General features: G+C 37.6%; 1 annotated feature.

Moving 5' to 3' along the window:
• Positions 703 to 1,204: an enhancer, noted in NCBI's record as "NANOG hESC enhancer chr16:61652273-61652774 (GRCh37/hg19 assembly coordinates)". NCBI's record gives its function as "activates a minimal SCP1, AML or CMV promoter by ChIP-STARR-seq in naive H9 embryonic stem cells {active_cell/tissue: H9 hESC(naive)}" and the evidence as "EXISTENCE:reporter gene assay evidence [ECO:0000049][PMID:30033119]".

Here is a 14,246-nt window from a genome sequence, read left to right as displayed (position 1 = left end):
GTTATCCTGGTGCCAAAAGTAGAGCATGGCTCAAGGCATGTACTCAATAAATATTTCTTGAAATCCTGGTTTATGAGAGGCAGTCTCATAGAGTGATCAGCACTGTAAGGTCTGGAGCTTTGTCTCCACACTCAAAATCTTGTTCTGCTACTTCCTAAATATGTAGCCTTGGATGGATGTCTCAGTCTCTTCACCTCTAAAATTGAAATAATAATACCTACCTTATAAGTTGTTTGGAGAATTAAACAGGTTTATATTTGCAAAGTGTTTAAGATCATGCCAGACATATATCATGAAGGAAAATACTTAAACATACATGCATATAAGACAACATATGTAACATAACATAGTCCATGCCAGGCAAGTGTTAGACAGCTAACACTAACACTGTTGTAAAACACCTGTATGCGAGTGGATGTATGTGTGTGTGTGTCACACCCATAATTTCTGTGAGTAGTTTTAGAGTCTTTCTCAAAAGAGCTGTGCCTACTACCACTTAACGACGATTCTGCATCACCACCTGAGATGAAACTTCTTTGCCATTACTCCTCTGAAGAGCTACCTGTTCACACGTGTGTGCATGTGTGTGTGTTGTTTTGATACTAATTTTAAAGATAGTTTATTTGATTTCTTAAATAGTTGTCAATTAAGAAAATCATGGATATTTCAGAGAAAACGTGACCCAGAAACTAAGGCCATAGGTAGGAAGAGCCTTAATACTTTTAAAGCTTCAGAGAGGGCAGTTTAGTCTCTAACCACTTTCTGAGCCCCCCACCTCTCCCCTCCAGGCCTCCCTCACTTCCCTGCCTCACCCATTGCAAGCACTGCCTCTCTGGACCCAGTTCCAGTGTTCTTGATTTCCGCCCCTACTGTCATTCCCCATATTGTAGACATTATGTCGGCATGCTTAGCTGCCAGAGTTGGTTTCCTGTAATTCTGTTGTTCAAACTCCCAACTGGGGGGTTTAGATAAGTAGAAAATATAAAAGAACAATTTGTAAACACTTGTTTCTATAGTTCTCAACACAATGTGGAGGAACAAAGGGGAGTCAGAAGTCCCTGATCTAATCCTTAGAATTGTAAAGAAGTCAGGACTATTTTGAGGCATTTGATTTTGTGGAAATGGCATCTGTGCTCCACATGACTGAGGTTTGGGTTTTCCTATGTTATTTGTTTTAGCATTTTCCTCATTTAATAACACACAAAGTAAGTGATAGAAATAAAATTATTTTATATTTGTTTTCAATATTTTCCTTAAATATATAACATGAAACTTCATTTGACTTGTAGGAAGATGCTAAAAAAAAATCAGCGAAGAAGTATCGTGAAAAAAGCCTCAGGCATGGATATATGACATGGAATAAATGTTTTATTTTTATCATTTTTTTTACACAGAATGCTATATGTTTAGCACCTTGTATTACTACTCTGCTTACTGTTTGGGAGATTTTTTAAAATGTAAGAAAACACTGAGATAGAAAAGTGTCATCAAAAAGACTATCTTGGTGGTTAAATAGTAGGAGGGGAGCATTATTGGGAATATCAGTTTGGAAGCCATGAAGAGAAAATCTCCAGTGTGAACTGAAGGTTCTCTCTCTTCTAAGAGGGGAAGAGAGAGGTTGGGTTTTATGCCTCAAAGCGCTGGCTGGTGTTACACATATTCAGCAGGTTTTCAGAAAAAGCTATGCATATTTAGGAGGGGAGCCAAGTGCATGCGCATTGGGTAAACATATATAACATATATCCCATGTTCACTTTGTGATGGAGATTTAACATTAAAATGGGGTGCCATTTGGCTCATTAAGTCAATAATGAAATATAGGACATAAAGACATTTTCAGTGCAGCTGCTGACTGCAATTGGCTTAAAATCTAGTCTGTAATAGCTTATCAGAAAAGATTGTTTATAAGGGGGACAGGTGGGATGGCTCACAGACGGATCACTTGAGCTCAGGAGGACAAGGCTGCGGTAAGCTACGATCATGCCACACTGCACTGCAGCCGGAGCAATAAAGTGAGTCTCTGTCCCAGAAAAGGGAGAGCAGAGGAGAGGAGAGGAAGAGAGGGGAGATAAGGAAAAGGGAGGACAGAGGAGAGGAGAAGTTTGTAAGGGCTGGGCCCCTATAAAATCAAGAGTTGTAGTGGTCTGGGTTGCAAATCAGCCTGCTAACTCCTATTGTTAGGGAGTTTAGCAAGGGTGTGGTTTTTCTTACAGTGGCAGGAATTTGAAAATTTGTCATGCCAGCCGGTTCCTGAATCCTCAACCTGTAGGTAACTTTTATTTCCTTAACCTTAGGGTTGCTCTTAATTGATAAAAGGGAATCTATTTTGGTCTGTTAGATCACTAAGAAAAAGATGAAATAGAGGTGCTTACAGTAACCTGAGACTGGGAGAAACTGGCTTCAAATTTCCACATTGCAGTAAAATAGCATGTTGTCAAAGGAAGCCCATGCTTGTACCTTGGTTGCTGTTCGGAGAGTTGGATCTGGAAATGAAAGAACCCAGCTAGAAAGGGACAATTTTGAAATCCTGCCACTGTAACTTGTCAGAGGAAGTGAATTTTCCATATGGGGTTCTGTATTATTATAGGCAATGTAATTCCCCTTTTTGAGCCTCAGACACTTGACTTAAAAATAGTGGGTTTGGACAAAATATATGTAAGATAATCTTTTAGGTCTAACAGTTTCTGTCTACTAAAATCTGTCTCCCAACCCATTCAATTTTATTTTCAACAAATTTTTCAAATTTGTTAACTTTCTACCTAATCTAAGGCATAAAAATACTTTTTGAGGCCTTAATGCTTAGAGACATATATAAGTGAATGGACACAGTGCTATTACAAAGGAGAGAAGATAAAATATATTGAGAAAAATAACATAGGGATGGCTAATTCTCAGAGTTTTACATGAGTTGTTTTCTTCTAGGAAAACACTATAAATCAACCGCGTGGTGAGAGTATGTAATTTACTTTTTGGAGCTATTTTGTGAGCATGGTAAAATAAATTAGCATAGGATTGTAGAAGATGAAAGGGAAAAAGTGATGAACAACAGAAGATGTAGTATTGTCTTGAGAACTAATTAAGTTAACTTTTCTACTGAAGGGACCGTACAGCTGAGGGCCTTAGCAATAATGCTTCTCCCATCAGGGTAACAGTTCTAATAAGATACATGCTGCTGATAAACAAAATCAGTTCTAGCAAGTCAGTCTTTCAGGGTTTGCAGAAACTAAATGATGGACAAAATTTAATCTCTTAAACCACTGCTTGTCACCAATTTATATGCTGATCTTGCACAAAAATAAAAATAAAGAAAAAGTAAATTCCATCTTAAACTTGAGATTTCATTCCTTCCAAATCATTCGTAAGGGAACAAACTTTGAGTGATGTCCACACTGTGGGAAGTGTTTAGTTATGTTCACTCTAGCTCATAAGAAGCTGAGGATATTGTTCATTTTCCAGAGCTCATTTTACAATCTAAAAAAGAAGGTAGATGGTAAATGAATTGAGTGGAAAACGACTTGTCTGTCGCGTTAGAGACTGGTACTTGTTCAGTGGGTTGGTTATTTTATCACCCACATACATTTCCATCCTTTCTGCCTTACTGAGGACCCTGGAGGGCTGGTATCTGTGGGTTGCATTATCCAGACTCCTTTGGACACCAGTTGAGTTTGGATCAATGGGAGCCAACAGCCAGAGCCTGGAGAGCCAGAGGAAAGAGAAGTCAGGGTATTCCTTTCTCATCTCTCTCTCTGCATAGCTCCGGTTTTGGCAAGGATTGCATCCCTTTACCTGGTGCTACAGTTCCTATTTTAAGTAGCTTCTCTTTGCAAGGTTCCATATCTTGCCTAGCTCTATAACTTTATTTTATTTCCTTTTCCCTTTAGGTCTAAGGATGAGAAAAGCATCCTGCTGCTGCCACAAGTTAGATGTATCCATTGTTGGTTTCCTTAAATTGGCTCATACCTTTGCAAACAGCCTTTCATTAAATTCTCATTAATTAAAACATCCTTGTTGTTCTATTCATTTCCTGCAGGAACCCTGACTGATATGATTAGCAAAACTAAAAACATGGTAGGCTGAGGATCAAAATGAGTATTCAAAAATTAAAGAACAATCTTAATTTAAATATATAAATATCCACTCATCAGTCTTTTGATATAAGGAAAATGCATTTTTTTGGAATATGTGCCTATTGATTAGAATTCAAACTTGCCTTTATTACACGATTCTCACACATAATGCATTACACATAATTCAATTTTTGATTTCAGCTTCATCAAAGCGGGATGAAAACTTACACTTGTAAAATAAGTATATCATCCATCTGGAATTTATCTCACTTTTTTATATTGCTTCATGCTCACCCAAAGTAGGAACAGTTTTTTGCAATGTTCTTCATTGCTTCTTTATAAAATATTCCATTTTGTTTTCAAAAATGCATCAATTCTTTCTTTCTGTGCTCTGATAAAATATTACAGAAACACAATAAAATACAATAAATATTTGTAGTAAAAAATACAAATGTAATAAGGAATTTTGGAAACAAATGCAACTTATTTGAATAAAAAAGCACTGTAAGTAGCAGCAGGAAAATGTCAAGATATCATAGTCTATTGTCTGTTCGTCTATGCCTTTTTCCCCAGAAAATGTACATTGTTGATTAAACTAATATTTCGGTTAAGTAGAAGAGGATTATTGGAGTTTTATTTTTTAATATGAAAACAAAATTACTAAAGATATGAAAGCATTAAAAGCATGCATCTAAAAGCTTCAGAGAGGGGAGGTTAGAAAGTATTCCCCAAAGTAATATAGAAGTCAGTACCTGAAGTATGATTAGGATTTAGCTAGGAGAAGAAGGAAGAAGATTATTCCCCCAGAAAGAATACTATGAGGAAGACATTGATATTCAAAGAGAACATCAAATGTGTAGCAAGAGAGTAACTTCAATTGAGATGTTAAGCCAGGCTCTCTAGGTGATATTGTCTAACCTGGCCAGGGTTTTACCTGTAAAATTTGATATTAATATCCCCTTCATGGGAATGAGTGAGGGTTGAATGAAATGGCTCATGTAAGAAGTTCTCACTAGTGGTTGTTCTTCTCAGGGAGATTAATCTACTCCCGCTAATATCAAAGAGAATGGGTTTGTCTCACATTGCTATAAAAGTCCTGAAAAGACACACTGTACCTATCACTAGAGTACAAACAGCCCCAGTTTAAAATGTTGAAAATTCCAACTTCGTGACAAGGGAGCAGCTATTCACTTTGTCGTTATTAAATTTGTCATGAATGATTTATTTAAAATGTGAAAAAAACACCATAATGTGCTACAGATCCATGGAGAATTAAGATTATCCTTATAATAATGATTATAATAATTGCCAATATAATGCCTATTACTTCTCAGAACTGCTTCAGTTGTTCATAGATAGATCTGTCATAGGTATATAGAAGAATTACATTGTTCAGCATGACTTGGGGGTGGCCTCTGCCCAAATCTGCTCCAGGATCATTGAACCAGGAGCTAAAAACCTAATATTCAACCACTCTGGATTTCATTTCTTCACTGTCATTTTCCTCACTGGCCTCTCCTCCTCCTCCACTTTAATTCTCTAGGTGTGAGAAAGGCAAGACCTTACTTGTGACATCGGGCAGAGGAAAATCTAACAGGCTTGAGAACTGAAAATTTGTTTTGTTTTGTTCCGAATTTTAAGATAATGTACTGTGGTTAATCTTTCACTTCTGAAAAACTTTGCTTTGCAAAGGCCTATAAATTATTCTGAAAAAAAAAAGGTCATATAAATCCTGTGCTCCTTTTCTTTGCAACATTACAATGTGATTGTGAGACTTGGATGCTGATTTCAAATTATTTGAGGTGAAGCTGAAGTCACAAGTTCCAGGTGTAATGTACTATTGGATGTCCTGTATGGATGTAGGGGAAAGAATGAAAAGGTTATCGCCACATCCTACCCTTGTCCAAAGAGAAGGATCTAACTTATCTTTTTGGATCAGAATTCCAAGAGACTGAAATGTCACTGTAGGTAAGAGGTATTTCTTAGATATGCATACTGGAGAGCTTAAAGGTACACTTATTTGCTGTCCTGGATATTCAACAACATAATTGTATAGGACTTGGCACATGAAATACTAGTGGCCTTATTTGGATAACTATTAAAACTGGGTCATAAGTACCCTAAGATTCACTATAATATTCTTTCTGCTTTTCGTAAGTTCACTATTTGTCATAATACTTTTGTTTTCGTTTTTGTTTTAATTTTTTTTTTTTTCTTTTGCTTATTTGTTTTGTTTGAAGTTCATCCAGTGTGGCTTTGCCTAGTGCTATCTCTTACCATGGACTCTCTCTCAGATCAGGCACAGCCATCAAATATTTAACTTATTTCTTATTATTTCTTATTTTCTTATTTCTTATCTTCTTTAATGTATAACTCCCTTTTCTCTCCCTCTAGCCTGTGCACTGGCTGTGCAGTGGTCTCAAGTTCTAGAGACATGATTAGGTTAAACTTTAGATTTAGGGAAATGGTTGCTATGGACTGAATGTCTGTGCTCCCTGCAAATTTATATATTGAAATTCTAATCCCCAATGTGATGGTATTTGGAGAAGAGTCCTTTCAGAGACAATTAGGACATGAGGTAAAACCCTGATAATGGGATTAGTGGCCTTATGAAAGAAGACATGAGAAAGCCTACTCTCTCTCTCTCTCTGTTATGTGAGAATACAGAGAAAAGACAGCTAGCTATAAACTAGGAAGAGGACCCTCTTCAAGAACCTGACCATGTTGGCATCCTGATCTCAGACCTCCAGCCTCTAGACTGTAAGAAATAAATGTTTGTTGTTTAAGCCACTCATTCTATAGTATTCTGTTATAGTCACCCAAACTAAGGCAATGGTAATTCACCTTCTACCTCATGTACAAAGCACATCCCCCTTCCTCATTTTCCAGAGTTCTGCAATCAGTATTTTCTCATATAATAAGAAGAAAGTGACACAGGGTTTCCCACTGAGCATGTCTTCATGATATCTCTCCCTGGGAGATCAAGAGAGGGAAAGGGTGACTGGATTAAGGCAAATTCTATCCACTGGGCCCTTAGTCTGACAGAAACGCAATAGCACTAAACTATACTATACACCCTAAAATAGCCTAAAAACGTAACTTAAAGGGGTCTTCCATGTGCTATGTATCTTGATAAGGAGTCCCACACAGGCAATCCAGCTACCAAATTGAACATTATTGTGATATTCTTTAAATAGCCTCATATTAAATTAATTTCTGAATTTTGCTAATTTCTTTTCTTTTCCCCTTCCCTTCCCCCCTTCCCCCCTTCCCCCCTTTCCTCTTCCCCCATCCTGCCTTCCCCTTCCCCCATCCCCCCTTCCCCCTTTTCCCTTCCTTCCCCTCCACTCCCCTCACCTCCCCTTCCCCTCCCCCTCCCTTCCTTTCCCTTCCTTTCCCTTCCCTTTCCTTCCCTTTCCTTTCCTCTCCCCTCCTTTTTTTTTTCTTTACTCCCTGAACCACAGGGTTTCTCTCTATTGCCCAGCCTGAGTGCGGTGCTGTGATCATAGCTCACTGCAGCCTTGAACCTCTTGGCTCAAGTGATCCTCTCGCTTCAGCTTCCTGAGTAGCTGGGACTAAATTTTTTTAATTTTTATTTTTAGTAGAGATGGAGTTTTGCTATGTTGCCCAGGCTGATCTCAAACTCCTGAACTCAAGAGATATTTTTCACCTCAGCCGCCTAAAGCACTGGGATTACAGGTGTGAGCCACCATACTCGGCCTAATTTTTCTTCAACGTATGTGAGAAATATTGTCCCCCCTCATGCTTATTTTTTTTCATGCTTATTTTAATTCAAAACTAATTATCTCTAGTATGGACTGTTTTGAGGGCACACTTAGTGCACTCTGCCTCCAGTCAATTAACAGGGCACCCATTCTCCAAATTGCTTGAAATAAGTAGTCGTTCTATAATGCAAACCCGTGCTTTTATCATTATTCTATTTAAATTTCTGAAAACCTCTCCTCTCCTACTTCTTCAAGAAAATTACAAAATTACCTGTGACAGTAAACATGGTCCCACCTACTGGGCCAGTTTACCTGTGCTCCAGCCACAGACAAACTTTACCTGAACCTCAAACATACCTTCCTAGCATACCTCTCCACTTAAACACACCCTTTCCTTCTTTATATTACTGTGAATACCCGCAACAATTATATTTGTACCTTTGATTTTGCATCATCTCAAGTCTTTTTTGCATATCTACTCTTTCTTATTTTCTCTTAAGAACTAAGTGTATGTTGAAATTATTTGAACTTCAATAAGACTAGAAAGTCCTTTATGTACTGGGAAGAGATTATGTATTTGTGTGTGTGTGTGTGTGTGTATGCATGTGTGTTTTGGGGGTGTGTGTGTGTGAGAGAGAGAAAAAGAGAGAGAGAGAGGTTTGGAACATTAGTCTTTTCATGGCCAAAATAACTCTATGGATTCTTCACCAAGATTTTGGAAAATCAGGCTATGAACAACAACTCCACTCCCCGCCACCCAAGATAAAGTTCAAACTCTTTAGCGTGGAATGCAAACTGTCAGGCCCAGCACCTAAGTTCCCCTCTAGCCTTAACTCCAGTCACAGCTTGTCCTTCTAATTCAAACTTCAGTAACAACGAACCCCACATGGTTCCCGTTCACACCGTTACATCCTATGCTTCCCCTTTCCCCATTTCCTCGGCCCTTTCTTCATTTACCTAACTAGCTAATGTCCACTCATCTTTTCTTTTTTTTTTCTTTGAGATGGAGTCTAACTTTGCTCTGTCACCCAGGCTGGGTGGCGCCATCTCAGCTTACTGCAGCATCTGCCTCCTGGGTTCAAGCAATTCTCCTGTCTCAGCCTCCCAAGTAGCTGAGACTACAGGATCATGCCACCAAGCCTGACTAATTTTTGTATTTTTAGTAGAGATGGGTCTCACCATATTGGCCAGGCTGGTCTCGAACTCCTGACTTCAGGTGATCCACCCACCTCGGCCTCCCAAAGTGCTGGGATTATAGGTGTGAGCTGCCACGCCTGGCCCACTCATCTTTTTAAACTCAGCTTACTCATCACCAGTTTTTAAAGCCTCCCGAGTATCATTGTTCATGCAGTTTCCTCTTGCAGAGATATCATCCATACCTTACTTACTGCTTAACAGTTACTAAATTTTGGAGCTGGGGCTTAGATTAGAAGTGGGTATGAAATCATCTTTGGCTATGGTGACAGTAAACTACTTGCCCATCCTATTAGTGTTCATAGTCACAGGACATATCATACAATATCACTTGACAGATTTTCTTAAAATTATTTTTGTATACTTTCGTTTATTTTTTTCTAGAATGTATTTTCCTCAAGGAGAGAGCTTATGTCTAAGTCAGCATGGTGCCATTCTCTCTGCTATATAATAGGTAAACTATTATTATATATGAAATGGATATAAGAAAAATCCTATTCTGTGTGTCACTGATAGTTAGACATTCATATATGTATATATAACCCGATCATTGGTTGCTGTTTTACTTTCTAACCCCTGACCCTACCCTCTGTTAATGGGATGACAAATGAATGAAAGAGAGCTTTATTAAGAAAACTGCTTGGGAGAGTGGTGGGTTAAAAAACAACCTATCAGGTACTATGCTCACTACCAGGGTGATGGGACTCATAATCCAATCATTAGCATCACACAATATTTCCATGTAACAAAATCATGTACTCCCTGTATCTAATATAAAAGTTGAAATTAAAAAAGAAAAAAATACCCTCAAATTGAGTCATGAAGAGAGTGGCCAGGACAAGGAATATTAGTCCCTCATGAAACTGTTGTAAATGACCTCGGGAAGTAACATTTAGGTGAAGGATTCATTACCTGAAGTGATAAAATATCCATAGATAAATATGAGGCAGAAATTGGAACAGGCTTGGGGCTTGGAAATAAGGGGATGAATGAGAGCTAATGTTTATTGATGTTCTGCTATGGCCTTGATCTACTGCTTCATTCAACAGCAGTTTCCTAGTGAGCATCTATCTTGTGCCTGGCATGGAGATAGGAAGTAGGGTTTCAAAAGTCAACAAAATGCATCCAGTCAAGATTTTGCCATCACAGAGCTTAATGACCAATGAGAATATAAATAATTATTCATCAGTGCACCAATCTCTGCTAAATATTTTGAGAGAGGAAATGATGGGGACATGGCAGACTGTACAGAAACTGAAGTTAGTTATGTCTTATTGGATCCATTTCACTGGCCTATGGGGACTGGCATCAGAGCTAAAAATGAAAATGCAATAGAAACTATGAAGTTGTATTTGTGGACACATAATGTTTTGAGCTGACATTCGTGCTTGCTAACATATAAAAGGAAAGAAAACTAGATTTGAAGACAATATGATAAATACGTGACTTAGTTCTTCCACTTCACTATTTTGCAACCTTGAATAAATCACATCACCTCCCTGAACTTGAGTTTCCCTGGCTGCCAAATGTAACCACTAATACCGGACCTGGCAGACTCTCAGGACTATGAGAGGCTCAATTAGGATAATAAAGGGAAAAAGACTTTGAAAACCAAGAAAACCCATGTGAACTTTGTTAGGAGTATCATTGCCATGTGAACCAGCCCAGGAAGTCTGGAACAGAGCAGGTTTGGTCTTAGTATAAACCTGTATGTCTAGACAGATGAATGGTTCTGGTCTGTAAATTTTCAAAAGCTCCACGTATTTCTACACCAAAGTTTTTCCCTCTTGTTAGGGTTTGATCTCTTCCCTGAAAGGATGAGTTTTAACAGGGGGAAAAAAGAAAAACACATTAGTGTTAAACTTTGTCTGGGACTCTCATCATGAAATTTCCATAAGCAATCATGAAACAGACACTGGAACAAACTGAGGTCTGTTTTGAGGTCAGTAGTAGACATTATTAGTGCTCTGTTCATGGTTCCTCTGTTCCTTCTTACCTGATCTGTGTGCCTGTTGGCAATCTGTGTGTCTTCTATTTTGTACCTACAAACTTCTTATCTGACTGTCATTGGCTACTGAAGCGGTTTCTGAATGCATGCACAGAAATTAGAATTGTTTCGCTGTTTACAATCCCCCTTCCTCGAATCAGAGACAGCTCAAATCCAGTAGGAGGTTGGTTCAAGACTATAAAAGCCCGGCTTTCTCTCAGAGAGTTTAGGTGAATTTTAATATGTAATCTATACTTCAGAGCTAACTGAGGTATTAGGCTGAGGCTGAGACTCTGCCTAAAATTGCATCCTTACTTGGCTGCTTCTTTTTTTTTCTCCTGTCTTCCCTGCTATTTTATCGATTTCTCTTTGGAGCACTGTCTTAATAAATGACTCATCTCAGGGTCTGCTTCTGGAGAATCTGATCCAAGGTAAAGCCCCTTAATTTTGAGAAAGTAAGATATATATACTCTAAGTAGTGAGTTAATGCCCCAGCATGGATTTGTCAAAGCCAATGGGGGAAAAATAACTAGGACGGAGATAGTTATTTTGGTGGCAATAGAGGCATTATCTCAAAAGTTTCCCCTTTCAAGGCAATATTGAAGTCTAGTGACACTAAATTTATTTAGTAGTAATTTAATAACCCCATGTGATATTTACTGTAGCAGGCACCAGGAACATATAAAACATGATTATTCAAACTACAAGAGGAGACATATTATTTGAAAATAGCATAAAACTGGAATTTTATATTGTACTTAAAAATTAGTACAAAGGGTTCCTATAATTTATAAACTGTGAAACTTTCATGTATTCAGCATCGATTGCTTTTTATTCATTATCTCATTTAATACTCATTATAACCCTGTAAAGCAATTATTGTCATTCTCATGTGAAGGTAAGGTGAATAATATTAAGGCAAAACAATAACTTACACAAAAATACACATAGAGTAAGTGACTAATTTATTGCAGCCTAAATCAAGTATTGTCCAAATCCCATGCTCATTGTGCTATGCCATGTTCTTTTTTAAGTAGAGCACAAGAAGAGAATCACTCAAAAACAAACAAGCAAATGACAACAGCCTTTTTTTCCAAGTGATTTAGTAAGCTATTGGGTAAGAAAATATTTATATTTTAGCTCAATTAAATTGGGTGGTGCAGGCTTCCAACATTTACATGTTCTTTACTTAAACATAGATATGTATAAGCCTTCCCATGTTCTGTTAGTATTTAGTAGCATTTAGTGTATGGAAATCTCATCGTTTTGCACCACTTGTATTTCCATAGCAAAGATCCTGGCAGAACTGACATATAGATGATAGGATCTGTGAATATAAGACATAGTTGCCACCCTTAGATTAAAAGAGTAAAATGATTGCTATTGTTACAGATAAAGATAGAACTAGTCCAAGTCCCGACTCTGACACCTACTAGTTATGTGATTTTATAAGAGTTAAACTTTGTAACCCTGAGATTTCATTATTGGTAAAATGGGGATGCTAAGACTTCTCAGGAGTTGTTATCAAAATTGTGAGACTATGTATGTTTCATTGTATATAAATACCACATTTTACTTATCCATTCATCTGTCCATAGACACTTGGGTTGCTTCCATTTTTTTTTTAATGTGAATAATAGGCATGGGTATACAAATATCTATTTAAGACCCTCCTTTCAATTATTTTGGGTATACACTCAGAGTGGAATTGCTGGATCATATGGCAATTTTATTTTTACTTTTTTAAAGAACAGACATACTTTTTTATAGCAGCTATAACATTTTACAGTCTTAAAAAGGAAAGAAAATCTGCCACATGCTACAACATGGATGAATCTTGAGGACATTATGCCACGTGAAATAAGCCAGTCACAAAAAGACAGAAACTATGTAATTCCACTTGTCTGAGGTACTTAGAGCAGTCAAAATCATAGAGCTAGAAAGTAGAATGGTGGTTGCCAGGGACTAAAGAAAAAGTGAATGGGGGCTTTTTGTTTGATGGGTGCAGAGTTTCACTTTTACAAGATGAAAAGAGTTCTGGAGATGGATGGTGGTGGCCGCACAACATCATGAATGTATTTAATACTGTGAATGGGACACTTTAACATGGCTATGGTTGTAAATTTCATGTTTTGTGTATTTGGCCACAATAAAAAATTGGGGGGAAAACTTCAAACTACAACAAAACGAAACAAAGCAAGTTGCAGAGTTAGACTGTCTGAGTTGAAATCCTAGCTTGATCTCCCCACCAACTCCAAAAAAAAGGCAGAGAGAGAGGCAGAATATATTTGTAGGACAATACTTGATAATATATATGGTGATGTATGCTCATTACTCATTTGTTTTCCTCAGAAATGGGTATTAAATCATAGGGTCAAATAAAATGTCTTAGGAAGTAAACAAAGCCATGGGGAGGTTTGGGACAGGGAAAGGTCACTACTACTGAAATTATTACTCCTTTTAAAAGGCAAGTTTTATGTAAGATATGGCTTCAAAGAATAGATAGACACTCCCTCTCTGTATGGTAATTGTCGGCTTCTTCTAATACATAAGGCAGTTTTCACCCAGAAAGTATGCAAAACAAGCTGGCCATTCTGGTTGGGGAGAGTTTGCTCATGTTTTGAAGCCATTATACTTGGAATCTATACAGATACTTAGGATTTATAATTACATTCACAAAAACAAAACTTAAGTTTCTTTAGACTTATTTTTCAGAGATTTAAATTTTTAATAGTTATTTTAGAGAAATGAAATTTAATGCTCAGGAAGAAAAAAAATCTCTGCTTCTTTGATTGTCCACTGAACAAAGGCCAAATGCAACAAAGAGGCAAAGGACATTCTTTCAACTCCCTTGAAGTGAAAGCCTTTTGTGCATTTTCTGGATTCATTTGAAAAAAACAAAAACAAAACCAAAAAGGAAATCAAGACAAGGGATGAACAGAGCTTGTTTACTCCGATGCCTGTGATGTCCGGTGCTATTTCTTACTTAATAATCCATATAGAGAAGCCGTTGCTCTTTGTTCTCATCTTCTTCCCGCCAAAGAGCCTCAGACCATGTCCTAAGAAGATTATGAGACTTTGTCTTTGATTCATTTAAAAGCCGTAATTGGGCAACTTCAAACCCCATTTAAAATCTTTCTGTGGTACTTGAAGGCCCACTTCCGACAAAGGTTTCTGTTAACTCTTTCCTAAGAGTAAGTCCAGTCATCACAACCCAGTGATGGGCTGTATACATTTGGATGTCTAGAAAAACCCTGCAGTAGGAACCCACTA

The sequence above is a fragment of the Homo sapiens genome, chromosome 16 (assembly GCF_000001405.40).
Source record: "Homo sapiens chromosome 16, GRCh38.p14 Primary Assembly".
Taxonomy (NCBI): domain Eukaryota; kingdom Metazoa; phylum Chordata; class Mammalia; order Primates; family Hominidae; genus Homo; species Homo sapiens.
This window is presented reverse-complemented; position numbering and strand designations above follow the sequence as displayed.